The following is an 18,514-nucleotide window of genomic DNA, read 5'->3' on the forward strand; positions in this document are numbered from 1 at the left end:
GCCACAGAAACTGGAAAAGACATGGATGTGTGACAAAGAAGGTAAGTGAGAGGCTGCACGCAAATCAGAGTGGTTAGCTGGAGTGGAGGAATCACACTAGAAAAAGATGAGGCTCGAGAGTTTTCTGAACTAGGAGAAAAGCCCAGAACCATTTAGCCAGGCTCCACCCTTCCGTTGTACATGTCAGCCTCACCTCAGTGGAAAGCTGAGTAATACCTTCTTCGGTTACAAAGAAAATTATTCTAGATAGATTTTTACAGGTAGCATTTGATAAAGGTGGATTTGATGTAAAAGCTTCAGACTTGGATGCAGATTTTTCAAACTGTTCTTTGCTGCTCTCCTTATACTGAGAACTCCTCCTATTCCTTGAGAATCAAAATCTTATCCAGTTCTCAAGAGTAAGGGTCAGCAAACTCCAAGAGCCAAACCCGGCCAGCTGCCTATTGGTTTATGACCTAAGAGCTAAGAATGAGTTTTACATTTTGAAATGGTTACATTTTAAGTGTTTATACAAGTACCTGCACAATAGCTTTAATTTTGCCCCACAAATAGCACAGCCTAAAATATTTATTATCTGGCTGTTTAAAAAAAGTTTGCTAATCCCTGCTCTAGAGTTCCCCAAACCCTTGCCCAGCACAAAAAAGGGGATCAAAAAGAGTGAGCTATGTGGTTGTTTTATTTTTTGAGAGAGAGAAAGAGGAAGAGGGGAAGGCATGGAAGGCTGAAGGGCAGATCCAGTATGCACAGTTCTCTAGGGTCCAAGCCCATCTTTACCTGTGCTGCTTAATATACACCAGTGCTGGCACTTGCAGATGCTGTTTCCAGATTTTACTGTCTTTCAAATTATCAGAATCTCTAATAAGAAAGAAAGTGAAATATTCCCTAGGTTGAAAAATAAACATCATTTAACTCAAGCAAGAAAGAAGAAGCATCGCTGTCTTCAAAGTGTATCCCATTCTCAGGAAACTACTGTGGTAGTGATGTAAGAGGAAATGGAGCAGTGCTCAACACAAACCTTTAGTTCAAGAAACAGAGGGGAGAGAGATGGAAGAGAAACAGGTCTCGAAAGAGTACCAAGGGACCCAGAATCAATAGAAGGAGACATAAGCAAAAAGGTTACACACATTTTTTTCCCTTAAAAAGAGTACAGCACAGAAATTCCAACATCTTCAAGAATAGAGAATAAGATTTGAAGGCTTTCCCATAAGAGTCACGTTTGCAGCAAAATTTTGGGTGTCTTGTCATTAAAAATAGAATAGAATAAATTTGAAAACCCCAGAGACTTAGAACCTATGGCAGAATTATCAATCCATTGGCATGAAGGGATCAGACTGAACTACATGAGACAGAGGAAGTCTTTCTATCCCATAACACAATAATAACCTATATCTAAGAGTAGAAAAGACACCAGTGGAAGAAGCATTTGGCTTTCTCAACCTCAGAGGCCAGCCTTTCCAGTTGGTGTCATATCACATCCTTCATGTGTCAATGAACAGCTTGAAGACACTCTTTTTTTTTATTATTCTTGTTTTTCTGAAACATTCACTCTGTCACCCAGGCTGGAGTGCAGTGGTGAGATCTAGGCTCACTGCAACCTTCACCTCCGGGGTTCAAGCAATTCTCCTGCCTCAGCCTCCTGAGTAGCTGGGATTACACATATCTGCCACCATGCCCAGCTAGTTTACATATTTTTGGTAGAGACGGTGTTTTACCACATTGGCAAGGCTACTCTCGAACTCCTGATATCAAGTGATCCACCCACCTCAGTCTCCCAAAGACAGTCCCTCTTAACATCCCACAATGCTTCTTGGAAATGGGTTGGAACAAATAAATTCGTTAATGAACATAGGGTGAGTTGCACTGCCCCAGTCATTGATACCTTAGTTATTGGCTTTTTAAGCATCAGGAGGCTTTAATGTACCTATCACTGAAAACCCAAATCAAACTGATAATAAAATAAATGTATTGGTTCACTTGGAGAAAAAGCACCATAGTATTACATTTCAGCCATAGTTTTATCAGGGATCTGCCTCCATTTCTCCACACCTGTCTCACCTTTGCCCTTCCTTATGTGTTAACTACAACATCTATTTCCCTTGTGGTTGCAAGTGTCCATCAGCAGGAGCTGGAGCTAGATGCTCCACCATAGAGTGAGACACCTTTACTTCCCACAAGCATCTAACAAAGCTCTGAGCTTCATTCTGACCTCACCATTTTAGAGGACAGGTCCATTCATGAACCAATCACAGTGCAAGAGGGTGATGTGCCTCTGGCTGGTGTAGACCATCCAGGGTCCACTTCAAGATCTTAGAGAAGATCAGTCTCACCCAAATCACAGCACTCACTGTGGAGGAAGGAGTTGCCATGGATTAGCAACTTCAGCATGTGTTACTTCTGTTGGTCAGGTGAGAGGCAAGGGAAGCCTCCTTTCTCCTCCTTTTGTTTTTCCTCTCCTACAGATGCATATCTTGTTTACCTGGAGTTGGGTTTAACTTCCTGGAGCTGTGGAGCAACAGAAACTTTCACTCTCATGCTCCTCAATGGCCATGGAAACATATCCTCCCTTGTCTCCAGGACTCAAAAATGAACTGGTTAGTGTGGGAAAGTATTCTGCTTCAAAAGGAGTGGCCTAGAGTAGACTTTCTCAAAGTGTAACCCTTAACCCTTGGGCATTAGAAATGTCTGGGATTCTTGAATAAAAGGAAGGACTGAAAAACTGAACTCTATGTCTCACATGTCAGGGCTCAGTAAGCCATATTTCCAACACAATTCCCAAGTGATTTCACCTACTACACTTTTGAGAACTTGGGGTTTTGAATATAAGAAATATATTGTATTGATAAAGGGAACTTTGACATTCACCACTGCCACCATCACCACGATGTTCAAAAAAATGGCTTCTTACCTATTACCAACCAATCCTTACCATATCCATGAGGGACTGAGCAGGAATTGTGACATCCATTTTCAGAAAAAGAAGCAGAAGACCAGAAAAGAAGCAAAATATAGGTAGGTTAGCAGGGTAAATGACCTTTCAATAGTAACCATTGTGTCATTAATATTGCTTAAAGTCACATGGTAAACAGGAAGTTTACACTTCTGGCCAAGATAGATAAAGTAACAGATTTACCCTCGTGCTTGAACAATCAAAATAAACAGACAAAATATATGAAACAATGGTTTTCAAGACATTGGACATAATAAAATAAAGACAGTTGGCTGGGCACCATAGCTCATGCCTGTAATCCCAGCACTTTGGGAGGCCGAGGTAGACAGATCGTTTGAGGCCAGGAGCTCCAGACCAGCCTGGCCAACAAGGTGAAACCCTGTCTCTACTAAAAATACAAAAATTAGCCAGGCGTGGTGGCTCACACCTGCAGTCCCAGATACTCAGGAGGCTGAGGCATGAAAATCACGTGAATCCAGGAGGTAAAGGTTGCAGTGAGCCAAGATCACACCACTACACTCCAGCCTGGGCGACAGGGTGAGACTCTGTCTCAAAAAAAAAAAAAAAGAAAAGAAAAGAAAAGTAAAAAGACAGACAGTGATCCCTGAGAAAGAAAACACCAAACCAAACGGGCCTACAATTGCCCCAGCTTACTGCCTTGAGAGGTTTCCAGGCCATGGCATGGAGAAACAAAACTCAGGGAGAGCCCAGCAGACTCCTTGAGTTTAAGAAAGGGAGTTGAGGGTCTCGGGACTCAAGAAGGCTAGAGTTCACAGGACTAGTAACAGAAGAGAGAAGTGAACACAGCAAAGCCTGGAGCTCTTCTGAGAGTCCCCTCTGAATATTCAGCATAGTAGTGATTTGTGCATGCAAGTGAGGAAACTACGCAAGGCTGGGGAAAGAACAATTCAATTAGAGGATTAGAGGGAAGAATGCTGAGTGCTTGCACAGGGCTGGGCACCGTGCCTGTTCCCACAGCCCAGAGAGGAAAAACTCATAATTCGTGAAACATTGGGTAGAATACTCAGGAATCAGGAATGGTATTGACTCAGGAATTGGGAATAATTAGCCTTAAACTAAGTACTGCTCCTGACCCACCTAACAAATGGTATAGAAATAAAAGCTGGCTTCAAAAGGAACAAACTGTTTCTAAGTAACTCAACTGTATCTCAGAACAAAAGTCAAGAGTATTAACAGGAATACAAAAATATCCAGCACTCAGAGATTACCAGGCAGGCAAATTAAAAACACACTGTGATATTTTTACATACCTACTAGAATGGCTAAAATGAAAAAGTTTTAACACTTAGCTAAAAAGCTAAGTGTTGGTGATGATGTGGAGGAACTGGAACTCTCATGTCCTGCTTATAGAAATGTAACCACTTTGAAAAACAATTTGGCAGTTTCTTAAAAAGATGAACTTGTGCCTACCATATGACCCAGTCGTTTTACTTCCAGGAATTTACCCAAAAAGAAATGAAAGTATATGCCCATACTAAGATTTGTCCACAAATATTCATATGAGCTTTATTTGTAATAGTCGAAAGCTAGAAACAATCCAATGTCAATCAACTGTTGAATCAATAAACAAATTGTAGTATATCTACATGAATTAGTATTATTCCTCAATAGAAAGGAATAAACTGTGGGTGCATGTTACAACAGTTGTCACTCTCATAATAATTATAGAACGAAAATATATCACACCAAAAAGATTACGTGTGGTATGGCTCCATTTACATCAAATTATTGGAAATAAAAACTAATATATAGTAACAGAAATTAAATCAGTGGATGTCTGGGGAGGAGGGTGACAAGGGAGAGACTACAAAGAGTCATGGAGAAACTTTTGGTGGTGACTAATTTGTTCATTATATTGATTGCGGTAGTGGCTTTGGGAATGCATACATGAATCAGCATTTATCATATTATGATATAATAAATTCATAAATGCATAAACTGCACAATTTATATATGTGCAGTTTATTATATGTCAATTATGCCTTAGTAAAACTGATCTAAAAAGTTACATATGAAAAAACTCAATATTATAAATCTGTCAATTATCTCCAACTTGATCTATAGATTCGACACAATCTCAATATAAATTCCAGCATGCTCTTCTGTAGATATGAACAAATTGATTTTAAAGTTTATATTAAAAAAGCAAAAGCCTCAAAATAGCCAAGACAATGCTGAAAATTAAAAAAAAAAACAAAGTTGGAAGAATGACGTTACCCAACTTCAGGACTTACGATAAACCTACGGTAATCCAGACAGTATAGTATTGGAAAAAGAATAGACATATAAAGGAATGGAACAGAATAGAAATCCCAGAAATAAACCCCCACTGATATAGTCAACTGATCTTTGACAAAAGAGCAAAAGTAATTCAATGGAAAAAAGATAGAAGATAGTCTTTTTAACAAATGATACTTGGAACCATACAAAAAAAAAAGACAAAAGGAAGAGAAAGAAAGGAAGGAACAAAGGGAAGAAGGAAAGAAGAAATAATTTAAGCACAGAACTTACACCTTTTACAAAAATTAACTCAAAATGGATCATAGACTTAAATGAAAAAGTCAAAACTATAAAACTTCTATCATTTCTGAATTTTCTTGTGGAAAAAATCATTATAACACTTCAAGAAGGTAACACAAGAGAAAATCTAGGTGACTTTAGTTTTGGCAATTCATTTTCTGATATAGCACTAAATGCACAATCAATAAGAAGACAAATTGATAAGCTGGACTTTATTAAAGTTAAGAATCTCTGCTTTGCAAAAGATAGTGTTATCAAAATAAAAAAAACAAACCACAGATTAAGAGAAAAACTTTGCGAAACATGTACCTAATCCAAAATATACAGACAACTTTTAAACTTTTAAACAAGAAAAGAAATAAACAGCACAATCTAAAAATGGGTAAAAGATCTGAACAGACACCTCTCCAAAGAAGATATACTTATGGCAAATAAGCATATGAAAACTTGTTCAACATCATTTATCTTTAGGGAGATGCAATTTAAATGAACAGTGATATTACTATGGAACACGTATTAGAATTAAGATGTTAAAATTCAAAACACTGAATACACCAAATTCTGGGAAGGTTGTGGAGCAACAGAAACACTTCTCCTTCATTTCTATGAGAATGCAGAAAGAACAGCTACTTTGGAAGACAGTTTGGCAGTTTTCTCACAAAGCTAAGCACAGTCTTGCCATATGGTCCAGCAATTGTGCTTCTAATATTTATCCAATTGAATTAGAAACTTTTGTCCACACAAAAATATGCACATAAATGTTTATAGACGCTTTACTCAAGACCATCAAAAACTGCAAGAAACTAAGATGTACTTCAATGGGCAAATAAATCAACTGTGGAGCATCCGTGTTATGGAATATTATTCAGTTATAAAAAGAAATGAGCTATCAAGACACACACAGACATGGAAGAATGTAAATGCATATTGTTTAGTGAAAGAAGCCACTTTGAAGAGATTACATACCATTTGATTCCAATTATAGTACATTTTGAAAAAGGAAAAATTATAGAGAAAGTAAAAACGTCAATGATTGCCAGGAGTTTGAGAGGGAAGACAGAGGGATAAACAGGTGAAGCACAATCAGAGTGGTGAAACTATTCTGTGTGATACTGTGAGGGAGGATACCTGACATTATGCCTTTGTCAAAACCCATAGAACTTTACAGTGCAAAGGGTGAACCTTCATGTATACATATTTGAAAAAAAATTTAGGAGGTCAGGGGATCCCAGGAAAAAATGCAATCTGTGATAAGAGACTCTAACTGTAGCACAAATGTCTGAAATAACATCACTAGAGGGGACAAGGGTAAAGGTACTGATTGGAACATTGGAAATGAATAGGATCTGTAAGATTAAAGGCAGGAGGAACTGCACATAAGCACTGTACTCCCATTGATAAAGTTGTTTCCCATGGGGGACTAGATTAATAATTTTGATAATGCTATATGTGTAAACTAGAATGTTGTAATAGGGATTTATATAAGTATGGGCAGGAGACCAGAATGATCTATATGTTTAAAAATCCGAGTCAAAGACCTCAGTAAGAACTGATATTTATCTCAAAATAGAGATGATAACATATAGAAATACTTATAGATATGCATACATATATACACGGGTATTATACACACATATACAGTATTTCTTTGCTCTATTAGCTAAGAGGGTCTAGATTCAAAGATGGCTCAATAGCAACAAACATACTTATTGGCCAGATCTTGGTTCCTAATATTATTCTCCAATAAAAATAACCAGAGTTTCTTGAAACAATGTCTGATTGCAGGACTGGGGTGAGAAATAAACAAGATGAGCTAGGAACATCTTATAGTGCTAGAAAACCAGGAAGTCTTTAAGAACAATAATGCCATATCAATGAGGGTATGTCAAAGGCATATAGGAGCCAAAAGAGACGGCCCAGTAGTCAAAGCTGAAACAATTTGAGCAACAAAATAAACAAGGTAATATTAGGTTATAACCCAAAATATGAAATAAATATTGATGAGTGCATACTGATATAAATAAGTAATTGTATAAACTAATAAAAGTGGAAGAAGAGGCAAGTCTCCCATGTGACAGAATTCTAAACAAATTACTTAAATACTCCACCCTTAAGGACGGACTACATAACTGCCCATGCATTAAGTGTGTGCTACACACAGTGACATCCTTCTACAGAGTATGGAAAGGGGAAAGTAACTTAACAGTGGAGAAATGTGGCTAACACTGCCTACGCCAGGTGACCAAGGTCAACATCAACAGTGATAAAACACCTTGATGTATGATGTATCCTTGATATGATCTGATTAAAATGGTACGTTTCCTCTGTAATCCTCTTTCTAAAAAGCCATAGCCTCATCCAATCGTGAGAAAAACATCAGACAAATTCCAATAGAGAGACGTTGTACGATATATCTGACCAGTGTATCTTAAAGCTGTTGAGGTCATCAAAAACAAGGAAAGTCTGAGAAACTGTCACAGCCAAGAGGAATCTAAGGAGACATGATGACTAAATGTAACATGGCGTCTTGGGTAGGATCCTGGAACAGAAAAAGGAGATTAAGTAAAAACTAAAGAAATCAGAATAAACTATGGATGTTAGTTGATAATGTATTAATATTTGTTCATTAATTGTAACAAATATATCACACTAATATAAAATGGTAATAAAAGAACTGTGTGTGTATGTGTGTGTGTGCATGTGTGTGTGTGCATGTGTGTGCATGTCTGTGTGTGCATGGTAATAGAAAAACACTCTGGACTATCTTCTCAATTTTTCTGTAAATCTGAAACTGTTTTAAAGGGTAAAATCTTGCGGGATGCAGTGGCTCATGCCTGTAATCCCAGCACTTTGGGAGGCCAAGGCAGATGCATGCCTTGAGCCCAGGAGTTCAAGACCAACCTGGGCAACTTGGCAAAACCCTGTCTGTACAAAAAAAACCACAAAAATTAGCTGGGCATGGTGGTGTGCCCCTGTAGTCCCAGTTACTGGAGAGGCTGAAGTGGAAGGGTCGCTTGAGGCCAGGAGGTTGAGGCTGCAGTGAGCTGTGATTGCACCATTACACTCCAGCCTGGTGATAGAGCAACCCTGTTTCAAAAAGAAAAAAAAAAGGTAAAATCTACCAATTAAAAAACAAAGTCACATGATTTGTGAGGTCCAGAGATGAGACCCAGGCCCCAGGTGTCTAGACTCTAAGACCAGGCTCCTTCTATTACGTAAAATTTGCCTTGCCTTTTGCAATTAGTGACTAACATGAAATATTTCAGTTGCGGCCAGTACTACCTGGGGATGAGTTGGAGAGCCTACCACCTAAGTCTCTCGAAGCTGGGCCAGTTCTGTGTGTCCTGCCTGTGTCTCCGAATGGTTAACACCGCTCATATGCAGGAGGGGGAAGGGGCAGGTTTACCTCCTACAGAGTTTATGGAAGCCCAGGATCTCATACCATATACAACTTAAGCCTCATGTTTATGTCTGGGAATATATTAAATGCCATCTGCCTAACCATTTGCCATGTTATAAATTAAGGCGACATCAACAGTGCTGTAACACTAAGGAGCACTCTGCTGTCTTCCAGTTTGATATTAAATGGGTTTTGTTACCAAACTCTTCTGACAAACATGAAAAGAACAGTTGCAAGCCTTCTGGAGGAGCAGATGGTCCCGGAGGCTTCCCAGCACAGGCTCTCTGTGAAAGTTCCAGGGTTTACATTTTCTCTGCTGCAAAGAGTTGGCTGTGTTGTGGTTGCTATAGAGGAGAGCAAACACTGCTGTGGAGGAAGTTGAACCCTGGTCCTGTCGCTTTCTTGCTGTGTGAACTTGTGTAGGTTATTCAACATTTTAGAATCTCAGTTTTCTTTCCTGTAAAATGGGGATAACAATGCCAACTTTAGAGCATCGTTATGAGACTAAAATGAGAAAACTCAGTCTTTCTCTACTTATACTTGATACACAGTGGCAAATATATTTTACACTGTGACCTAGTGTGCACACATGTGCACATACACACACCCCCACACATGTAATTAAAACAGAGTTTTCATCAAACCAAACTAGTCCTTCTGAGGGATTAGACACTTTGATATTTTCCACTGTAACAAAATTTATTCTAGTCTATTCTGTTGTGTTCTCTTCTATTTCACAGGCAACCCAGTAAATTAATTTAGACCTACTGAAGGCTTACAATCTCCAGATTAAAAAACACTAAAGTAGTACGCTTAAACATGTAAAAAAGTGCTTGGAACATGAAATATATAAAATAAATGTTAGCTGTTAATATTATTATTATCGATAATATTATTAACTGTGTCAAGGTGATGTGAAAAGTTGGAATACAAAACAGCGTCAACTTTTCTCCCACTCTTTCCAGAAACCTAGTCAATGGGCTCATCCTGTCCTAATCCTGAATTGCATCTGCTGCCCCAAACGGTAGCATTCCAGTAATTCAAATGTCCAGGGCAATGTGCTTATTGAGCCCAAATACTTGAACTCAAGCAGGAGCTTCTGTCTCTCTTGGCTCCTTTCTGCCTCTAGCAAGGTCAGATTCTTTCTCTTTCTCATCTTTCTGCTATTTCAGAGTCCCGAGCAGGACCATCCCCCATGTGCCCACAGCAGTAACCTGCTCATTAACATGTGATGTATTCCTTCCCTTCCCTGGCTCACTTCCTATTCCCCTTCCTATTCACCAGTGCTTCCTGGGATCACCTCCAAAATAAACTCACATTCCAATCTCAGCATCAGCTTCTGGGAGAACCCAACCTAGGACAGTTCTGTGTGTGCTCTCCAGCCTTACTCTACCTACCAAGTCAGCCTCACATCAGACACAGGGGTATTAATGGTACAGGGCAGGCGAATCTCCACATTGGGGCTTAGCCTGGGAAGGTTCTTGGCTTTGCTCACGAAATAATTCAGGAGCAAGCTGGTAGTAGAAGAAAACAGCTTTATTGAGGCAGCAGTGTTATAGCTCTGTGACTGCTCCTGCAGAGCAGGGCTACCCTATAGGCAGTGTGTAAAGAGTAGCAGCTCAGGGAAGTTCTGCGGTCATACTTCTACCTGCTGTTAATTACATGAAAATTAAGGCATGGGTTATTTAGAAATTTCTAGATGAAGTGTGGTAACTTCTGGGTTGTTGCCAAGTGAAGGGAGGGAGGAGGGTAGCTTCCTGGTGTTCCCATGGCAGTGGTAAACTCTCATGGCACTGGTGGGCATGTTTTATAGGGAGGTGCTTTTGGTGACTCTTCCCTGTGTCAGCCAGTTCTTCAATCTGGTCCAGAGTAAAGTCCCACCTCCTACTTCATCAAGACCTATAGATTTATCAATGTCATTTCCACTCATGCAAGTTCCCAAGTCAGATGGAAACAGATAAAGATGGTCTACCAATCCTCAGATGAATGGGGACCACCTATTGAGCACCTAGGAGCTTTTCTTCTTTGTCTACATCCTCTACTTGTAGATGAGTCTTCTATCTCACATGGGTCTGTGTGCCTACGGACTTCTTCAAATAGCACATGACATCTATCTGCCCATCTTTTCAGTTTGTTTTTCAACCAAGTAAACAAAGTGCTCTGATCTTAAACATGGAATAGATTTATTTGCCTAGCTTTCTTAAAACATACCTAATATCCTCCAGGTCTAGAAGGGCCACCCCGCTGTATAACTCACAAAAGCACCCACAAAACTACATTTTCTTCAGACAGAACATATCTTTTATTAGGCTTATGTCTGTGATAATGATGCAGGTGAATTTTATCATTCCTTTCACCCTACTAGTAATGAACAAATTCACTGTGTATTACTTTGGACTTGATCTCTGGCAAAACACTACTGGAACAAACAATTTGATTTGTCAACACCTTTACAAGGGCTCCTCAATCAATGTCACAAATCCAAATTTAAACAGCAAAGTACATTTGACTGCAAGACCCTGGACTGATTAGAGCTCCGAGTTCAGAGAATTGCTCCAGACAGGGCAGCAATCAGATTATTAACTCCACTTGAAAATACTCTCTGCTGCCTGGTATTAGCATGCATATTTTGATATAGATCGATAAGCAATCTCCTTTCTATAAGAAATGCCTGCAACATTCATTTGGCTGATCAAAGGTAGATATCAGCTGGCTGTGACAGCTAGCTATTGTTTCCCCGCTTTCTTTACAGAAGAACCTCTATTAAAAAAAATTCTCTGCCTCTTTTTCAGCTAATAGTGGAAGCCAAGAAAGCCACAAAATCCCATCTCTTCTCAACACTGAAATACAATTAGTGCTGAAGGGACTTGAGTCTTTTCTGAGCTAACTTAACCCATTTTCACTGTGTACACTGTCCAGAAATGCCAAGTTTTTCTCCCTCCTTCCCCCACTCTTCTCCACTCTGATTTATTTTCCACTGGAGTGGTGGTCCCAGCCTGGAAGTGTTAGAAGGATGACACCCACCCTTTCCCAACTGGTTGTTTCCTTGGTGACATCAAAGCTCATATACTAAGTCCCCTGTATTGTTTGAAACTAGTTAGCTCAGATTCAGATTCTGGGTGGGGGCAAAGCATTGACTTACTGCTTTGAGTCTGTTATTCAATCCCCTCACCCCTCTCTCACCTGGATTCTGTTTTAAAATACCCATTTCCTTTTTGAAAACCATTTCTTATTTATATTCTTTGCCTATTTTGTCCATCTCAAGCTCTTCTCCCCTCACCTAAACCTTATCCAATCAACCAACTCAGAAATGAAAACCTAACTTATGCACCAACCGATTCCTCTCTTCTGTCCAAAGACCCTAAAAAATATAAAGCAAGATGTGTTTTTACTCTAAAGATAGATTACTAAGAGACAAATTCTAACTACAGTTTACACAGCATGATTCAGCGGTTCATTTTAAAACAAATACATGCTGTGTTTTATGTGTGTATATATATTAACCATATAAATACATATTCATTATATGCACATATACACATATACATGCATGCACAAACACACACAGAAAGCATTATAGTCCTATAGTTAGTGGTCTTAGAAAGGTAGATTAATAGGAGACTTTTAAATTATGTTTAGCTCTTTCTGTTTTATTTGACTTTGGAAAATCTTTCTTTGTATTATGTTGTAATTCAGGAAAACAATTACTTTAAAAACGAGAATTGGAACTGTCTCCCACATACTCTAGCTGCATTTATGCTCTGATTTGTTCTCAAACTACTTTCCATGACATGTCAGTGTGTTTGTCTTAGCTCATAGGGTCCATGAAAGCCAAGATGGCACATTTTGATGGCTTGGTCTCGGTGTGTACATTACCAGCTCGTGTCAAGAATGTGGCAGTTGTTCAGTGCCTGCTGGGTGGGTGGTGATGTGCTTTTCAGGATGATTTGATTTGTTTTAAAACCTCACTGATCTGAATTGATAGTGGGGGAGTACAGTCTGAACTAGTGAAAATCTGCATTTTAGTATTGTTTAAAATAAACGCACTTGGAACTGAGTCACTTAAGGTATACCTGAAACCACACAAACAGAGAATATCCAGATAGTGGCTGTTGAATACTGTTACCATTAAAAGGTAAAAATATAAAATAACTTCTAATTTCACAATCCTTCAAGTTTTGAAGTGTTTGAAAGAGTATTTTCTTGAAATAATTTGTTTTCTTTCTAGAGAGGGATTTGCTAAGCCTAGCTCTTATTCAAGTAACTCCAACTGTTTTATATGTGGAATTTTGAAGCATCCTTTGAGTTACTTATAACAGTCACAGGTTTTTACGTTACCTCACTGAATCTTCACAACAACATGATGAGCTAAGTTTATATATTTCCATTGTATAGATGAGGAAACTAAGTTTCAAATAATTGGATGAATTGCCCAGGAATTTCAATTTGAATCTGACCATGAAGCTGGAGGGGAGAGACTTATACTTAAATGGCATTGAAATCACCTCATGGTGGAATGATGTAACTGATTTTAAAAGCTAGAGTCAAAAACTGTGGATCATAAAAGTGGTATTTGTGAAACTAATCTTTCTAGAAAGACAATGGAACTGATTTTAATGTTTGATGTGGATGGAATCTTGCTCATGGGTCTAACTCCTAACTAGAAGTTAGAATTAGAGATTTAGAATTCTGACAATTCCTTTACTGATGGACCCCAATTATGTCCATACAGAAAATTTAGCTCTAGTAAATAACTAGATGTGGCAAAAATGTATATAAATGTGACTCACAGTTGGTGCATACTTCCATTTCCTCCTGATTGGACATGCATTCTGACTCAACTAACTAGTTAGGTAACTTTGGTTACGCACATTACCCTCCCTGTGCCTTTTCTGGAAAATGGGGATGATAATAGTGACCACCTGATGTGGTTGCCATGAGGTTTAAATGACACAGCATATATAAAGTGCTTAGAATAGCACCCAGAACATAGAAAGTGCTCAAGAAATATTAGATATTACTAGTAAAACAATGACAGTAAGCCTCCACAGGCCGTGGGTCACTCGTCTATATGTATAATCAGGGACTAGAAAATAAGCAGTTTCTTAAAATGAATTATTCTATTTTTCTAATCTATGAAGGCATTTAACTCTTTCCTCCTTTGCCATGAAGACTTAGGTCTTTAGTTAGAGAAATTATGACAATATTGGCTTCCAGTGTTTTTAAATTTCCAGAGTGATTTTATATACTTTACATTTTTCTATGTCTCACAAAACCTCCTCGTAGGAGGCAAACACAGGGTCATTTAAGAGATATTTATTAAGCATATATTGTGTGCCAGGTGTTCTGTTAGGTGCTGAAAAGTAAAAATGCTGATGTCCCTGCCCTCGGAGATCTCAGTCTCGTGCAAAATTATTAGTCTTATTTGAAATAAACATAAGTGGAAGTGAATTGCCCAGCGAGTATCAAAACCTGGGGCTTCTACATTACGTTTTGTTGCATGAAGACAGTGGCCTTGTATCTACAATCTACAAAGGTCTTTGTGAAGATAGGAGGAAGGAAAAGAGAAAGGAAGGAAGAAGAGAAAGAGGAAAGAAGGGAAAGAGGGAGGAAGCAAGAGAGGAAAGAAGAAAGAAGGGAGGGAGGGAGGGAGGCAGAGAGGGGGAGAAGGAAGAAGGAAGAAAGGAAGCAAGGAGGGAAAGAAGGAAGAAAGGAAGGAAGGAAGGAAGGAAGCAAGGGAGGGAGGGAGGGAGGGAAGGAAGAAGAGCACATTTGCCCATGATAACTGACATTATCTGTTATCATTAACATGATAACTAATAACATCAAGCTGAAATCTTAGCTGGAATTATAAACGAGAAAACAATTTAGTTATCACCTAATCAACATAGTTTGACTGGCTGAAGGAATTTCTAAATAATTCAACCATGCAAAGAAAACCAAAGAGGTAACTAGCAGCTTTACCTTTGTAATCTATGATCGTGATTTGTATAATTCAGAATTGTTTTCATTGTGCTGTCCCCACCAGGGTCTTCTGGTTTGAAAATTTAGTGTTCTACGTGCCTGAACATATTCTTGGAATCATCAGGTTTAGCTCCCTCAAGGGCCATGAATTTACAAGGGAAAGGGCTTTTCATAAGTTCCTGCCATGCAGGACTCTACTGAAGTAGAAACCCAGCCCCATTAGCAAGTATTAATGTGCCCTTGAATTCCATGATGCCAATCTACATGCCATTTTTCTGGATGCCTAAGTGCCAAGCCCTGATGGTGTTATCTGTAAGGGATCAGGGTCCATAGCTGGGGAAAATATGGCAAATTTTCTTTGCCATTGAACTTAAGTTTTGTCTTCTTGGTGTTGTGCAGTAACTACCTGCCTTGGGCATTTTTCTAAGTGCTTTCCACTACAATATATTGTATATAATGATGTGGCAAATGTTTTCTTTTTCCCTGACTGAAAAAGAAAAATGGTTTTCATTTCTAGCCCAATAATCTAGGACTTTTGCAGCAAGAAAAGCGAATCAAACTTTTTGATCCACCTAGTCAAGCCAAAAAGGACATTAAGACTATGTTACTAAGCAGCCAGAGTGAAGTCTTATATCAAATCACTGCTTTTTTTTTTTTCTTGTGTGAATGATGCTGTTGATGAGAATTCAGACAATTTAAGGGCATGTTTGATGAAAAATCTGGTTTTTCTCCTTGGCTTGCCACAGATAAATCAAATGCAAAGTTTGTGAGATGCACAGTGGGTGTCCATTTGTGAGGACAATTTCTCCTTCTGAAGTGAAAGATTGAGTGCAAGAGGCAATCCAGACTATTGGATGGCTGTGAGAATCAATGAATGAAAAATATTCTTCCCCATTCAATGGGGTAATTTATTCTCATTGATGGGACAAGGGGTCAGAGGATGGTTCTGGCTTCCTTAGCTCTCTCACTGGGAGACAGTTCTGATTGGGGCCACTCAAGACAGTGTTTACACCAGCACATAGTCAACATCCGTGCCTCGTAGTGTTATTGGAAATAAAACTTAAAGGAAGACAGTAAATAGCTCTACATTTTGGAATTTCTTTATTGTGTAGGGACAAATGCCATCTTGATGTTATTTAGTTTGATTTGGAATATCACCGTGATTTATGAGTCTGTTAAATAAAGGTCATTTAGTAGGGCCACATCACCTTACCCTTAAGATTTCCAAATATATTTTGGGGAGATTTTCTATATTCTGTACCAGAGTTTGACACATAACAGTTATATATAAATGTTTCTTAAAATTGCCTCTACATTAAAAAATGCAATGAAAATTACTGTTTGGCATGTAATAGGTAATCACAGATGATAGTTATCATTAATAAATAAAATATAGCATATGCTGTTAATTATAATAATGTGACTTTTACCCTAAATTATATCTTTGTTATCTAGTGGGAGAAGCAGAAAAACTATACATATAATTTAACATACTGTGATACAAGCAAGGATGAATACATTTACAAAGTATTATAGTCATGCGGAGGAGAAAGGAATTTATTTGACGTAGTTGAGGAAGGTCTTGTAAAGGAGGTAGTGGCTGAGTTGGGTTTTGAAAGATAAACAGGAGTTAGCCAGGTTGGGTGGGATCCGTAGAAAAGGAAGGGCATGTATACCAAGGGAACATCATGTGAACACAAAAGCACACAAACTCAGAATTTGTGTGCCAATTTATAAGTCAGTCAGTTTTGGAAGAGCATGATATTGTCTTGGTAAATGTTCCATGTGTGCTTAAAAATCATGAGTATTCTGTTTTTATCAAGTAGAGTGTTCTATAAATGTCACTTCGGTCAAGACGGTTGATTGTTTTGTTAACATCATTTATATTCTTCGACATGGTTTGGATTTGTGTCCTTACCCAAATCTCTCGTCAAGTTGGAGGAGAGACCTGGTGGGAAGTGATTGGATCATGGGGGTGGATTTCCCCCTTGGTGTTCTTATGATAGTAAGGAAATTCTCACGAGATCTGATGATTTAAAAGTGTGTGGCACGGCCAGGCGCGGTGGCTCACGCCTGTAATCCCAGCACTTTGGGAGGCCGAGGCGGGCGGATCACGAGGTCAGGAGATCGAGACCATCCCGGCTAAAACGGTGAAACCCCGTCTCTACTAAAAATACAAAAAAAAAATTAGCCGGGCGTAGTGGCGGGCGCCTGTAGTCCCAGCTACTTGGGAGGCTGAGGCAGGAGAATGGCGTGAACCCGGGAGGCGGAGCTTGCAGTGAGCCGAGATCCCGCCACTGCACTCCAACCTGGGCGACAGAGTGAGACTCCGTCTCAAAAAAAAAAAAAAAAAAAAAAAAAAAGTGTGTGGCACTTCCCCTTTCACTCTCTCTCTCTCTCTCTCCGTCTCTCCTGCTCCACCAGGATAAGATGTGCCTGCTTTCCCCTTTGCCTTCCCCCATGATTGTTAGTTTCCTGAGGCCCCTGAATCATGCTTCCTGTTAAGCTGGCAGAACTGTGAGTCAATTAAACCTCTTTTCTTCATAAACTACCCAGTCTTAGGTAGTTCTTTATAGCAGTATGAGAACTGACCACTACACCTTACTAATTTTTTATTTGTTCTATCAATTATTAAAGGAGTTATTAAAATCTCCACATGTCACTCTGGATGTGTCTATTTATTTTTGCAGTTGGATCAGTTTTTGCTTCATGTATTTTGAAGCTCTATTATTAAGTGTATAAACACTTAGAATTATTGGGTCCTCTTGATAAAATTACCTTGCATGTATGTGTATTTGGTTATATTCTTTGCTCTGAAATCTACATTGTCTGATATTAATATAGCCATTGTTTTGCTTGGTGTTAACATGACATGTTTTTGTATCCTCTTACTTTTTAATATTCTTTCACATCCTCTCTGAGTGAAATATATCTTTATATTTAAAGTTTGCTTATTATAGGCAACATAGAGGTGAGTTCTTACTTATATATCCAATCTGACAATCTCTTCCTTTTAATTTGGGTATTTAGGCCATTTATATTTAATATGAATATTGATATAATTAGAGATAAATATGTAATGTTTCTATTTGCTTTCTATTTGTTATATTTACTCACTTTTAATTTTTTATGCCTATTTGGATCAAATATTTTAATAATTCCTTTTTATCTGTTTTGTTTTTTATTAACTACAACTCTTTTATCATTTAAGGGGTTGATTTTGGGTTTATAGTATACATCTCTAGCTTGTTATCTTCAAGTGTTGTTATACTAACTTGTATATCTATAAGAACTTTTGAAAATTATACTTTAATTTTTCCTTTCTCAGTCATTGTGCTATTAACGTCATATATTTTGTTTCTATATAAGTTATGTACCTTACAGTACATTGTTATTGACTTTTGTTTAAAGATTTATCTTTGAAAATATTTGAATAACAGGAAACACTATATTTATCCATCTAGTTACCACTTCTGGTACACTATATTCTTCTGTGTAGATCAATATTTTCAACTGGTATCATTCTTCTTCTGTCCAAAGGACTTCCTCTAACATTTCTTATAGTGTGGATCTTTCTCGGCTCTTATATGACTGGAAAAATATGTATTTCACTTTTTAAATTAAACTGTATATTTTAGGATGGTTTCAGATTGACAGAAAAA

The 18,514-nt window shown here is 38.3% G+C and overlaps 1 annotated feature.

Annotated features, from left to right (window-relative positions):
• Positions 17,166-17,381: a silencer, noted in NCBI's record as "fragment chr16:51738563-51738778 (GRCh37/hg19 assembly coordinates)". NCBI's record gives its function as "represses an EF-1alpha promoter that drives an FKBP-Casp9 reporter gene in an ReSE screen in K562 erythroleukemia cells {active_cell/tissue: K562}" and the evidence as "EXISTENCE:reporter gene assay evidence [ECO:0000049][PMID:32094911]".

The sequence above is a fragment of the Homo sapiens genome, chromosome 16 (genome assembly GCF_000001405.40).
Source record: "Homo sapiens chromosome 16, GRCh38.p14 Primary Assembly".
NCBI lineage: Eukaryota > Metazoa > Chordata > Mammalia > Primates > Hominidae > Homo > Homo sapiens.